Here is a 14,847-nt window from a genome sequence, read left to right as displayed (position 1 = left end):
CTGTGTCCTGGGAGAATTCCTCAATACTATCTCTGAGTTGATTAATTAGTGTCGTTGTTACTTTCAATGATTCTAGTTTCCATTTCCAGGGCTCCTACTTGCTTCTACAGGTGTTAATTCTACTTGTTCTTGAAACTTTTATTCTCTGCATATGGCTTTTACTTATCTTTTTAAGAGTTATAAATATATTTATTATACAATCAATTTTTTTCAGATTATTTAATCATTTTTATTTTATTTGGAGTGAACTTATCTAGCAACTGTTGATTTCATTTTCTATCCATTTTAACATTAGTTTTCTTTATGTATTTTGGAATATTGACTCATGTAATAATACTTACTTGGAAGAATTTTTCACAATTTTTTGTCATTGTTCCTCCTTTCTAAGGAAATATACACAAGTATACTTTGTATACTCATTGTTCCTCCCTTCTAAGGAATTATACATAAGTATACTTTGCCATGTGACTACAGTACCTCCCATTATAGGTAAAAAATATTTACCTACATTGTTGATTTTGGTTTGGCTTGGTCTTATAAGCTGCTTCAGCCAAATGAATATTAGCAAATATGACACAAAGCAAGGCTTTATATTCACTTACTTTTTTTATTATATCATACCTTAAGTTCTGGGAAACATGTGCAGAAAGTGCAGGTTTGTTACATAGGTATACACGTGCCATGGTGGTTTGCTGCATCCATCAACTTGTTATCTACATTAGGTATTTCTCCTAATGCTATCCCTCCCCTATCCCCACACCCCTCAACAGGCCCTGTTGTGATGTTCCCCTCCCTGTGTCCATGTGTTCTCATTGTTCAACTCCCACTTACGAGTGAGAATATGTGGTGTTTGGTTTTTCTGTTCCTGTGTTAGTTTGCTGAGAATGATGGTTTCCAGCTTTATCCACATCCCTGCAAAGGATATGAACTCATTTTTTATGGCTGCATAGTATTCCATGGTGTATATGTGCCATATTTTCTTTATCCAGTCTATCATTGATGGGCATTTGGGTTGGTTCCAAGTCTTTGCTCTTGTGAACAGTGCTGCGATAAACATAAGAGTGCATGTATCTTTATAGTAGAATGATTTATAATCCTTTGGGTATATACCCAGTAATGGGATTGCTGGGTAAAATGGTATTTATTAACCTCTTGATTCTCCACTATCCACTAAGGAAAGAACCTGCCCTTTATAGCTGCTGCTAAGAATCACAATCTGTAGTATAAGTAAGCCCAGGCAAACCCATATAAGATGAACTGAACTATAACCCAGAGACCTATGAATGAGAAATATATATCTTGTTGTTATGATTTATTACAAATTTGAGGTTATTAGATAGCATTACTGTATGAATTGCTGACTATTCTAGAAGAGAGAGATCTGAATGTATGAATTGGCAAGAGTCAGTAAAGAAATGGCTTAAGTATCTAAGAAATAAATACAAATTTGAGGGTAGGAGGAAACTAGGGAAAGGAGAGGAGGAAGATGGAGAAAGAGATACACAAACAAACAAATGTGGGCATCATAGCAGAAGGATAGAACCTAAAGACAAAGTAGATTAGTAAAAACCTGGTTTCTGGTTGACCAAAGACTTTTAAAATAGATTTATCTAATATTCAGGTAAATTCTAATTCTTTATAATCTCTCTCTCTGATTTCTTGAACCTTTTGTAAACTCTATTATACATATATAAGTGCTTTATGGGTCTGTGTGTGGGAGTGTGTGTGTGTGTCCATGAGCATTTTCAAAGTAAGTCAAAGTAGCTGAGTCCTATATTTCAAAAGAAGACATGAGAAAATTCTTTCATGCAAGAAGAGATAAAAATGAAATCAAGAATGCAGAGGAAGCGGTAATTGAGAGCTAGCAATGGTCATTCAAATGTAAGCCCAAGGCACTTTGGAGAAATCATGAGCAACACATTTGACTTCACACAAAATGGGTTACAGGGCTTATGCTCACATCACAAAAATTTCAAAGGACAAAATAACATTCAACAAATTTTCAACAAACTACAACCATTACTGTAACTTCTCAGTTCTAAGATGCTATAAGTTATAAGATATATACTAATGTAGTTACAGGTTTTTCTGGAAATTATTTATATATTGCATTTTTAACTGACTTACAAGCAAAAGGAAACTTTTGCCAACAGAATTTTAGGTTACTATCTTAATTTGGATTATTTGAGAAGCAGATCTGCTGTAGGGATTAAACACATAAGAGATTTACTGGGAAAACAATTGTGAAGAAAAATGTTATTGGGGACAGAAAAGGAGAGGAGAGTTTTCAGAACACAAAGTAGGTTCAATCCTCGTGGAGGAGAGAAGAAAAGAAAGTTTAGGAGGAAAGGAAAGTATTCCCTATTTAATAAATGGTGTTGGGAAAACTGGCTAGCCATATGCAGAAAACTGAAACTGGACCTACAGAAAACTGAAACTACACCTTATACAAAAAATTAACTCAAGATGGATTAAGAACTTAAACGTAAGACCTAAAACCATAAAAACCCTGGAAGAAAATCTAGGCAATACCATTCAGGACATAGGCATGGGCAAAGGTTTCATGGTTAAAACACCAAAAGCAATGGCAACAAAAGCCAAAATTGACAAATGGGATCTAGTTAAACTAAAGAGCTTCTGCCCAGCAAAAGAAACTATCATCAGAGTGAACAGGCAACCTACAGAATGGGAGAAATTTTTTGCAATCTATCCATCTGACAAAGGGCTAATATCCAGAATCTACAAGGAACATAAAAAAATTTACAAGAAACAAACAAACCCATCAAAAAGTGGGCAAAGGATATGAACAGACACTTCTCAAAGGAAGACATTTATGTGGCCAACAAACATGATAAAAAGCTCATCATCACTGGTCATTAGAGAAATGCAAATCAAAACCACAATGAGATACCATCTCACATCAGTTAGAATGGTGATCATTAAAAAGTCAGGAAACGATAGATGCTGGAGAGGACGTGGAGAAATAGGAATACTTTTACAATGTTAGTGGGAGTGTAAATTAGTTCAGCCATCGTGGAAGACAGTGTAGCGATTCCTCAAGGATCTACAACCAGAAATACCATTTGACCCAGCAATCTCATTACTGAATATATACCCAAGAGATTATAAATCATTCTGCTATAAAGACAGGTGCACACATATGTTTATTGCAGCACTGTTCACGATAGCAAAGACTTGGAACCAACCCAAATGCCCATCAATAATAGACCAGATAAAGAAAATGAAAATGTGGCACAGATACACCATGGAATACTATGCAGCCAAAAAAAGAAAGATGAGTTCATGTCCTTTGCAGGGACATGGATGAAGCTGGAAACCATCATTCTCAGCAAACTAACACAGGAACAGGAAACCAAACACCGCATGTTCTCACTCATAAGTGGGAGTTGAATAATGAGAAAACATGGACACAGGGAGGGGAACATCATACACTGGGGCCTGTTGAGGGGTGGGGTCTAGGGAAGGGATAGCATTAGGAGAAATACCTAATGCAGATGAGTTGATGGATGCAGCAAACCACCATGGCACATGTATACCTATGTAACAAACCTGCATATTGTGTACATGCATCCCAGAACTTAAAGTATACTACTGCTACTACTAATAAAGAAAGTTTCAGCAAAACCAATGAGGGGTCTTCAAGTCAAAGTGGCCTGGGAGAAAAGTGCCTGGATTTGGTCTCTGCCTTACACCATCATTGGTTGAGAGGGTACCTGGGAACTGTGGCCTCTGTGCACATTCAATGATGGATCTCAAACTGTAGCATGTGGGACCACGGGTCATTGGTCAGTTATGCTTCCTGCAGTGGAGATCTGAGATAGGAGAGGAGTGTCTTCATGGTTGCCACAGTTATATCTCCTACTTTTGCAGACTCAGGTAGAAGTCTGTAACTGAGCCTTCTGAACTTTCAAAAGCTAAAGTGTGTTCTGAATTACTTTTGAATATCACAGTGGCCTATTTTGTATTTTTTGTTTTTGTAATCTTGATCTTTTTATCATATTTAGAATTATCTTTGTAATTTTGAGTTATATTGAAGAATGTCAATGTTTTATCAGAATTTTGAATTTGGTTGAATTAACAAACTTTTTCCCCTTTTATTAAATTGTATGTTTCCAGAAGTATAATGGCTTCTCTTAAAGGTCAACAGGTAACTTTTGACAGAAAAAGGACTTGATCTGTTCTTGACTTTGGAATGATTGAGTTATCCATTGTAGACTACATAGCTAAGAACATCTTATGAACTATTTCAAGAAATTTAGTTGTATTTTCATTTTCTGTCATGTGAAAATAAATAGGTATAGTATACAGACATTTTTTACCTCACTGCTATAATATTTGCAGGCATCTGAACTACAAATTTGGTATCCAAATTGAAATCAGATTTAATCTCATGCGGTGCTATCCATGTAAATAAGTGTGGTGACTGTCAGATGAATATGTATTTTATCTGTCACTATGTTTGCCTAGTTTACATAAAAACAAGTGTATCACAAGTGACCTCACTTGTGGCAGGCAAAATGCCTCCAAATTTCAGAAATACTACATTTTTAAATAAGTAATTTTTCTTGTTACAGAGGTAATAACTAAATATTTTTAGAAAATACAAAATAAAATTTCCATATAGATTATTGTCAGAAACTTGTCACTTCCTACAGGTTCTACTTAGTGATCATTATCTCTAACACAAAATCTCAGAATTTGAGATATTTAAGAGAGTATTCCTAGCAACAAAATTCCAACATTTTTTAATTAAAACTTTTCTGTTTAAAACTAATTATTAAATAGCATCCAATATATAAAACAGATAGAGGCAAGATCTCTCTGATCAAATTTTGGAAGTGTTTCCTGGAGCTCACACACTCAGCCTCTTCACATCTTTCTCCACCTAGAGTCCCTGAGCCTCTCCCAAATGTTGTTTCCAGGTAACACAGTTCAAAGACAGATTGAGAAATTAATATTATTTGAATGAAAATGGTGTGATGGATACATTTGCCTTTCTTCTGATTGTGAAAGAATGCATTCAGTACTACAATTAATGCTATTATATAGCTACGCTATAGCTATCACATTAGCTATAAGTTTTCCTTGAGTTTTGGTTTCATTGTAGAACTGCTTTTCTGTCTGTGATTTGCTGAAAGTTTTAAATCTTGAATGGCTTTTGGATTTTGTCAAAATCTTTTTCTGCATGTTTTTAGATGATCATACACTTTTTGTCAATTTTCTGTTAACATCATGTATTTTATGTATTAATTTTCAAATGTTTACCTTTGAATCCCTGGGATAAATCCTTATGATCATAAAGTATCATATTTTTAAAATATTTATTGATTTAATCTGCTATTATTGGATTCAGAATTTGCATATCTGTGTTTCTGAAAAGTATCATTTTACCCTTTCCTTCTCTCATAACACTTTTATCAGGTTGTCTATGAAAATTAGTCTCAAGAGTTGGGAAGTACTCTTATCTTTCATATATTACATTGGATATTTGCATGTACTTCTCCCTTTTCTTGATCAGTCTAGGGAAGAGATAATTAATTTTATTAAACTTTTTCACAACTTGACTTTTAGCTTTATTATTTTTCTTTATTTGCCATTTTTTCTAGTTCTCTTATCTTTATTATTTCCTTTTTATGCCTAATTTAAATATATTTTTTCTTCCATTTCTATCTTATTAATGTGGAGATTTTGATTCTTAATTTTAGACCTTTCCTCTCTATGTATAATTTTAATATTAATATTTTTATATCATTGAATAATTCAACTATTCTACGTAAGCAAATTAATGCAGAAGCAGAAAATCAAATACCACACCTTCTTACTTAGAAATGGAAACTGAACATTGTGTACACACAGACAAAAAGATGAGAACAATAAACACTGGGTATTCCAAAAGGTGGGAGGGAGGAAGAATTGATAAAGTACTTACCGGGTACTATGTTCACAACTTGGGTGACGGGTATATTAGAAGCCTAAACTGCAGCCTTAGGTAATATACCCATGTGGCAAACCTGTAAAAAGAAAAAGTCTGCAGGATACATTTACAAAACCAAAAAAAAAAAAAAAGTAGATATAAAAGAAGGCTTTGGATATCCAGTTATTACTACTAAGTATCTCTTTGAAATATAATAAAAATAAAATCCATACCTGTGATAAATATTCAAAATTACATTTATTTTTTCAAGATAATTTTAAAAGGATACATTACATTACTTTGTTGTTCAATTCATGTTTCCTTTCCATCCCCTTCCTTGACCTAATCCACTTTATCTACTCCAGTCTTAACGGTCCACTGTTTCTAAATCAAAGAACACACTGTTGGCTAAGAAGAAAAATGTTTTTATCATCATGTAATTTAGAATTATGTGGATGCTTTCATTAAACCCTCATATTTCAAAGGGCAAGAGTGAAAATGAGTTTACCATGTTGGACAACTGAACGCATATCAAATTAATAAATAATAATCAAAATTGTTTTCTCTCATGGCATGAGCTTTATATTGCTTTGTTAACGTTAGAGAAGGAATTTTTGGACAGACAGAACATTACTTCCTTCCCATGGCACATTATTTAGTTAATTCTTGAGCCAGCTCACCATTGTCAGGCTTAGATAGTATGGTTTTAAATCAGATTTTGAGCAGTCAACATTTAGAGGATGATATTCAGCATTTCTAATCCAGTAGGGTTTTTGATCCTTTATGCTCTTCCTTGAATAATGGGCTGCGTGTTGTTAAACATAATGGCATTCTATTTTGTGTCACTGGCAAAAAGTCCTATCTGACTTCGAACTTACAAAAATAGACACAGTTCCTTTTATTATATACCGTAAGAGAATTTGGAAAATATTTTATAAAATTAACAACCATATTATAAAAAACAATAACTGCATTGACTTTATTCTTAGAAACAAGAGAATTTTTGTAATTAGGAATTAAGAATGTAAGTTCAAAAGGTCACTGTTTTATTGTGTACTATCCAGTTGTTTAGGGTAATTTTCATGAATTTATGTCAATCCTGAAAAGGAAGTATTTGTCAAGAATGTAATAAGTTTTGTGGGAGGCCACTTAAAAGATTCTTATTTTTATAAGACCGTCTAGTCTTTTTTTACTAGGGATTAGAGGAGTACACAAAGGAACAAAAATTAAGGTATGAAAGAAACACTGTATCTTTAATTGGTGATGGATATCTATGCCAAAATTTCATACCCATGAAATTATAATTAATGTTTATTGGGTACCTACCATATGCCAGATACTGGACTAAAACCTTTTAATGAATTATCACTTTTTATTTAATCCATATAACAATTCGTTGCGTACTCTTATTATGTCAGCAGTAAGATTTGAATGAGTTAGCTAATTTGCCTAGTTTGTCCAAATGCATGATGAATAAGGATTGAATGAACCCAGATAAGTCTGACTGCAGAAACCAGATGGATAACCATGTTACCTCTTTATTCTGACTCTCTACCTTCAGTTTCATGTGCAAAATATAGGAATTCGCATGTAAATGAGGTCAACTTTACCAGATAGAAAACACAAAATCCCAAACCATTCAGATTATCAATTTTGATTATCTCTTTCCTTATGCTGTGCCTTTTTAACATTTCAAAATATAAGCATTTGTTCTCTAACACAATATAAATAAACTAGGAGGTGTATAAGCATTTTGAGGAATCATTTCTCCTTAATTTTATCTCTAGCATCTACCACAGTACTTGGCAAAGACAAGTGTAATTATGAGCCAAATTGTTAAAATATAAATTTCAGAAATATACTTAGACATTCCCACAGTTACAAAAGAGGTATAATGTATAGAGAAATCACAACTAATTAATGAAAAATATTTAAAAATTGGAAAAACTAAATTAAGCTAAGTGACAGGCTTCCAAAGATATACAATTCCTTACACATATATACCATGCTTCCAAATGCAGGTGTGGTGCACATATATCCTATAATTTTATTTCAGATTGTTACATATGCAAATGATAGTCTCTTTCACTGAAAGGCAAGCTAATAAGTATTTGCAGAATAATTAAAGTAGGCTAAATGTCTCTCTTAATAATGTATATGAAACAACTTATATTAAATTATAATTTTCAAAGGAAGACACCTCAACCCTTAAGCATCCATCTGACTGGGGTATATGCTAATTTCCAGAATGGGTCGGATTATCCATCAGAAAGCATTATATATGAGATAAAGTAAATATAGTTCAAAATAATATGTGATAAGGAACAGTAACACTTAATAGCAAAGTTTGAGACTGTGATGAAAATAATAATCAGCAACGTTCGTCTTGAGCAATACGTGTTGAGTGCTAATATAAGTGCTTTAGAGGGATTACCCTATTTGAGCCCTATGATGGATTTTGTGGTAGATATAACATTAATAATTAGGAGTCCTATTTTTGCCAATGGAAGAAATAGACATCTAGAGAGGTTAAGTAACTTGCCAGAGTCATACAATTAGGAAACAATAGTCAGGATTTGAAATATATCATATTTCTCCAGAACTTACACACTTCACCCTAAAATATTGTCTAGAATTAAGAGTGTCAATAATACGACGTTATTTAAATTCAAATATTGGAATATGTTACATCTAGGCAGGTAGTTAAACATCAGAAAAGAATCCTGAAACACTGGAATTCAGGGGACTAGGGGCTTGTCCCAGCTCTGAACAAATTAGCTTTGCCTTATCAGCCAACTCACTTATCCTTTGTGTGCCTCAATTTGCCAGTTTTTTTTTTATCAAGAAAGCTGGAGAAGATGCACTAAAACAATTTATTTCTTCTCAAATACTCCAAGTTTGCAAATACCCAGGGGCATTATAGGTTGTTTTCTCCTGTATTTGATTCTACTGCAGGCTTCTCTTCCATCCCTAGTACACTGTGATATTTATATCAGTAAGGATGAAGTTAAAAGTCACTCATGGTGCGAAATTGGATTCATAACTATTGCTAATGCAAATGAAGACAACTTAATGATTCAAGACTGTGCCTGAGAAGACTAAAATAAAAACTTATATTAAATTAGACTTGGGATTTCAGATTTCAGCCAACCCAGGTGCAAAGCTTAAGGGTGGTGATATGATACATCTATGATGATACATTATCTATGAAATAAAAATTTTGAAATACATCGAACTATATCTTTTTCTTATCATGTAGTAAATAATGTTTAAATTTCCTAAGTAGTTTCTTACACTTAATATTAAACAACCCAAAAAGTTGAAGTGAGAAATTTCAGCAATTCATCAAAAACCATATTATGTAAATAGAAATATTTTGTAATCTGAAGTTTTGAAAAAAAACGGAAAATTTCTACGATGGCTTAGAAGCAATTTATTCTCTGAAGAAGATATTCTATATGTTGTCGGGGAGGTAAATAGCATTCATATAGTGAATAAAAGTTATTACAGTTTCATTTACAGAATATATCTTATTTTGCTTATTCTTTGATCTCAATCTACTCATCCCTCTTTCAGAGACCTTAGCCAAATATATACTTGTAAATTTTAGCATAATCCCTGGTAGACATCAATTTTAACATTAGCTAATAGTTATAGTATTCTTGTAACAGAGAAATCAAATGGAATGAATTTATTTCGTATACTCAGCTGGGTCTCTTCCTTCTTCTGACTCATGCAGAGAAACAGCCCGACCACCCACCCTGACAAATGCCTGAGGCCCACATGCAGCCTGCAAAACTGCAAACATCACTGCCCACCACAGACCACGGAAGCAAGAAGCCTGTTTCCTGTTACTTGCCACCACTCAGCAATGCCCACCCCATGTGTATAGAGGTCCAGAATGCTCAAAATTGTTCTTCTGCTGCTGCAACATTGGAGCCTTCCATCATCTCAGACACATGCTTTTATAAACCAATAACAAAGGATCAACTTTCTTCTAGGTCTGAATTGAATACTGTGAGGCTAAAGTGTCTTAACTCATTGAGGGGGTGGAAAATATTAAACCAACTAAGCCTTACCTAATTACAATGCCCTGCTGCTGCTCATCTCCCTTTATTCGTTTGTACTCATACTCAAAAGAGGTTGTGTTTTTTTCCCTTCATTCAATAACGATTTTCCTTGATTCTTAGATAAGTCCATTCCATAATGTACTCCTTAACTGTTCTGAATTTCTTTCAGAGAAAAACTGGAAAAGACATTAAATCATGTTGAAATATTTGACTGACTTTCATCTAGGAAAAAATATAAAGTTAAATCTCTACACTAAAATATAAACAAAATAAAAAGAAATTTCAGTAAGACCAAAACATTTACTTTTAAAAACCTATATCATGTTATATGTATAACTGAGGAATGTAATCATAATTTTGATTTGTAGAACTGAAGACAATATCAAGTAACCCTCAAAATGTAAATTCAAGAAACAAGGTAGTTACGTTAGCCTGCATTAAAATAAAAATATCTGTGTGACAATATATGCTGTAGAGCAAATTAAAAAACAAGTGAAAAGGTTGGGTAAATATTTGCAATACATATTGATACGGTTTGGATTTGTGTCCCTGCCCAAATCTTATGGCAAATTGGAGGAGGGGCCTGGTGGGAGGTGATTGGATCATAGGAGCGGATTTCCCCCTTGCTGTTCTCATGATAGTGAGTGAGTTCTCACAATATCTGATGGATTAAAAGTGTGTGCACCTCCCCTCTTGCACTTTCTCTCCAGTCACCATGTGAAGTTCCTTGCTTCCCCTTCTGCCATGATTGTAAGTTTCCTGAGGCCTCCCAGTCATGCTTCTTATTAAGCCTGTGGAATTGTGAGTCAATTAAGCCTTTTTTATTCATAAATTATCCAGTCTCAGGTAGATCTTTATAGAGTGTGAAAACAGACTAATGCACATATACTAAAGGGTTTACACATAAAATACATTTTAAAAGATCTAAAATTTCACTCCTAAACGTAAAAAACTCAATGTAAAGAAGCCAATATATAAATAGATAGTTAACAGCCAATACATAGGAGTGGCCAGTAATCATTTAGAAGACACACACCCTCACTAATAATTAGGAAAATGCACATTAAAACAGAAACAATTTTTCATTCCCTATATTAATGAAATTTGAAGAAAAAGATGGATAATATCAATTGCTAGTAAAGGTGTCAGAAAACAATTTGAAAGCAATGTTCAAATTATTGAACTAAAAACATAAATTGGCCAGATTTTTAGTAAGAAAATTTGATTTTTAGTAAGAAAATTTGATTTTAAAAAGTTTGTTAAGAACATTAATTATCTAGGGTGTTCATTGCTTGATTGGAGATTCTAGATCTTAAATTTATTTTCCATTATTATCCCTACCTGGTGTTGTTTTACACACATACATATACACACACAGTTGGGTTTTAATAAATAATTTCTGGATTGAATTCCTTTGCAAAAACATTTTCCATCCTCCATTTAGATGACATAAAAATGTTATTCTGGATAATATGTTGATAGTTACACTTGTGATTTTCTTGTTACTGAAGCAAAACAGAAACATTTGGAATACATATGCTTATTGTCTGAGGAATTAACTCCGAAGAACAGAGACCTAGTTTAAGTCATTCCTAAAATAACTCCTAATGCAGCATTTGTTATCAAATATTTTTTTATCCAATATCCTTCAATTTCTATGTTTAAATTCCAATATGTACTTTCATTACTCCTACATGCATGTTAGCAAGCATTTATTATGTATCTGCTATGTTTCATGCATTTTGCTATGAATCATAGAGGAAGAAAAATGGGTACAACATAGCTTGGGTCTCAAAAATCTACCTGGGGAGGCAGCATGTGTAAAACAAACATGGATAGAAGGATAAAAGGAGGTAAACATTAAAAGAGGTCAAAAAATAAAAGTTTAGTGAAAGCACAGGAAGGAGAAAGACTAATTCCAACTCTGATGGGTTGAAAAATATCTCATTGAGGAGTTGGCATTTCTTGTGCACATTACATAAGACTAATACTTAAATATTGTCTGGAAATTGTAGGAAAACATAGCATCACGTGTTTCCGGTTTTTATAACAAATTTCTCCCTTAAAAAGTTTCAAATAAATGCAAATTTTGTAAATTCCTAGAGGAGCTTACGATTTAATGGAATTCTTGAATGAATCCTTAATAAGATGAATAATTGTTCTCTGGTATTTCTTTTCTGAAAATCCAGATTCCTAAATATGAGATAGTAAAATTAAGATAGGCACATATAATGACTAGTTTGATGTTGAATGGTACTACTGAAGGTATTGAGAATTTTTTAAAAATTACTTTTAAGATTAAACAAAACTTGTTAAAAAATTACTATGGCATTTAGTGCTTTGTATATGCATTATATTCATCAGAGTAACTAGAAAAAATGGAACAGTCTACATAAAGTATAAATTACTATTATTATTATTATTATTATTTTGAGGCAGGGTCCTGCTGTGTCACCCAGGCTGGAGTGCAGTGGCGTGGTCTCGGCTCACTGCAACCTTTGCCTCCTGGATTCAAACGATTCTCCTGCCTCAGCCTTCTGAGTAGCTGGGATTACAGGTGCGCGCCACCACTCCCGGCTAATTTATTTTTTTGTAGAGACGGGGTTTCACCATGTTGGTCAGGCTGGTCTTGAACTCCTAACCTCGTGATCTGACCGCCTCAGTCTCCCAAAGTGCTGGAATTACAGGCGTGTGCCACCATGCCCAGACAAATTACCATTATTTTTAATATATTTTTTGGTTATTCGGATTTGTTGGCAATGTTCCCTATTCCATGGCCAAATCTTTATGCATAAGTCACTGACACATGTGAAAGGCAAATATTTTACTTAACTCCACAAGTCCTCTGTGCCTTTGCCTCTGACACTTCAACATGTCCCTCCCTGTGGTCTTCTATTTTGCCCTTTCTACCATCTCCTGCTACATCTCCAAACACATACATAGCATTCCACACCCATGACACCATGGTCATTTGAAGAAACTCTGAGTTTTGTTCCGTTTTTCACTTTAAGCCGGCGAGGCCAGATGTGGTGGCTCACGCCTGTAATCCCAACACTTTGGGAGGCCGAGGGGGGCAGATCACGAGGTCAGGAGATCGAGACCATCCTGGCTCACATGGTGAAACTCCATCTCTACTAAAAATACAAAAAAATTAACTGGGCATGGTGGCACGCTCCTGTAGTCCCAGCTACTCGGGAGGCTGAGGCAGGACAATCGCTTGAACCCGGGAGGCGGAGGTTGCAGTGAGCCGCGTCGCGGCACTGCACTCCAGCCTAGGCGACAGAGCGAGACTTCCTCTCAAAAGAAAAAAAAAAGCCAGGAAAAAATAAAATCTGGGCCATAAGTGTATGAGTTTGCTTGAGAGGGGACAAACATGGTCAGCTAGTTGAGAGATGAAAGGAGAAGCAGGGCTGTATTGGGGGTGGAAAGTGGTTCAGAGGAAGGAAGAAGGCTGGAGACAATGGCCTAGATAGTTTTTACTGTTATTCAACCACGAAATCTCAATTCAATGGCTACCTCCTCGATGAAGTCCTCCCTGATTGTTCCAGGAATGACTAAATCTTCTATTTCATTTTCCACCCACCTTTATAAAAGCAAGTATCTTGCTGTTTTATGTTACCAGGACAAAGAAAGTCTAATTTTCTTAGCAAGAGAATTCAGCCCCTGCCCTTAAAAGACAGAACGTTTACTTAGAAGTTGCTAGAGTTATGACCTGAGATGATCCTAAGTTGAAGAAATATTCCTAAAGGAAGATTCCTTAGGCCTGGCCACTTTTTTACTGTTGTTGAGTGGCAGATGCAAGTTGAGGGCCAGCACAAAATCACCTGAGCCTATAAAGGATGTTAGAGAGGAGGAAGGGAGAAAGTGGGATAAGTAGACAAAGTAGAGAGATAATGGGCCTAGAAAATAAAACAGAACTCTCAGCTGTTAAAGAAGTGATTACAGATATAGAAAAAGAAAATGCATTCCATACCAGAATGCTTCCAGAGTTGCAATTGCTTTGGTGATGATGATGAAAGGGTTGGGACATGATGACATGTTGAGTCCAGTCTCTAAGTAGTTTTATGTTCAATACCAGCTTTCCACATGGGCTCTATACTTGTAATTGCTTATTTACAAACTCTCCTCTTTCAAATATAAACCAACTAAGTTAAGTACATGTGTTTTTTTTTACTTTAACATCTCCAGTAACTCATATACTACACATAATATTTGTTCAATAAATAGTGGTAGAATGAATATAAAAAGGAATGGTATAAATTGTGCCTAAGTACAGAGTGAGAGACTGAGTGAGTTGGTCTGACCTACCAGAACTGGTGCTAATGCAGATTCTAGACCAGCCAGTGATTCTGGAGTATGTGCCCTGTTGCTCCCACCCGGTTCAAAGGATAGCCTGTAACAGCTAAGTCTTCATTTCCCTTGTTCATTAATCTTGAGAGAGAGAAATAGAGAAAGAAAGAACAAGAAGGAAGGCAGGAAGGAAGGAAAGAAGGAAAGAAGGGAGGAAGGAAGGGAGGGAGGAGGGAAGGAGGGAAGGAAGGAAAGAGAGAGAGAGAGAGAGAATAAACAAACAAAATATAACAGGGCAGGTATGTCTTTATTGCCTGCCTGAGACTACAAAAAAGCCACTATTTTCTCTAGTCCTTTTCCAAACATTTGTCACCCAATACCAAAATACAAATACTCAAGCATTTTCTATTATCTGTCACCATGGCTTATCAGTTTTGGAAAATATATGGCATAAATTCTCATGCATGTTCAGAAAGTCCATATTCTCTATAATAAAGAAACGGGAAGTCTGTCCTCTGTGTGTTTTATTCAACTGATCTACAGTAACAATAC

The 14,847-nt window shown here is 34.7% G+C and overlaps 2 long non-coding RNA genes across 2 annotated transcripts in view; one reads left to right on the top strand and one right to left on the bottom strand.

Moving 5' to 3' along the window:
• Window positions 1-10,886, top strand: part of DIRC1 (disrupted in renal carcinoma 1) — a 56,386-nt gene extending 45,500 nt beyond the window's left edge. Inside the window, exon 2 of the long non-coding RNA NR_161166.1 lies at window positions 9,675-10,886. This is a non-coding gene — a long non-coding RNA (disrupted in renal carcinoma 1). The remainder of the gene's footprint in view (window positions 1-9,674) is intronic.
• Window positions 1-14,847, bottom strand: part of LOC105373790 (uncharacterized) — a 104,710-nt gene that overhangs the window by 15,274 nt on the left and 74,589 nt on the right. Inside the window, exon 3 of the long non-coding RNA XR_923685.3 lies at window positions 5,951-6,032. This is a non-coding gene — a long non-coding RNA (uncharacterized LOC105373790). The remainder of the gene's footprint in view (window positions 1-5,950; window positions 6,033-14,847) is intronic.

The sequence above is a fragment of the Homo sapiens genome, chromosome 2 (assembly GCF_000001405.40).
Source record: "Homo sapiens chromosome 2, GRCh38.p14 Primary Assembly".
In the NCBI taxonomy this organism is placed as follows: domain Eukaryota; kingdom Metazoa; phylum Chordata; class Mammalia; order Primates; family Hominidae; genus Homo; species Homo sapiens.
This window is presented reverse-complemented; position numbering and strand designations above follow the sequence as displayed.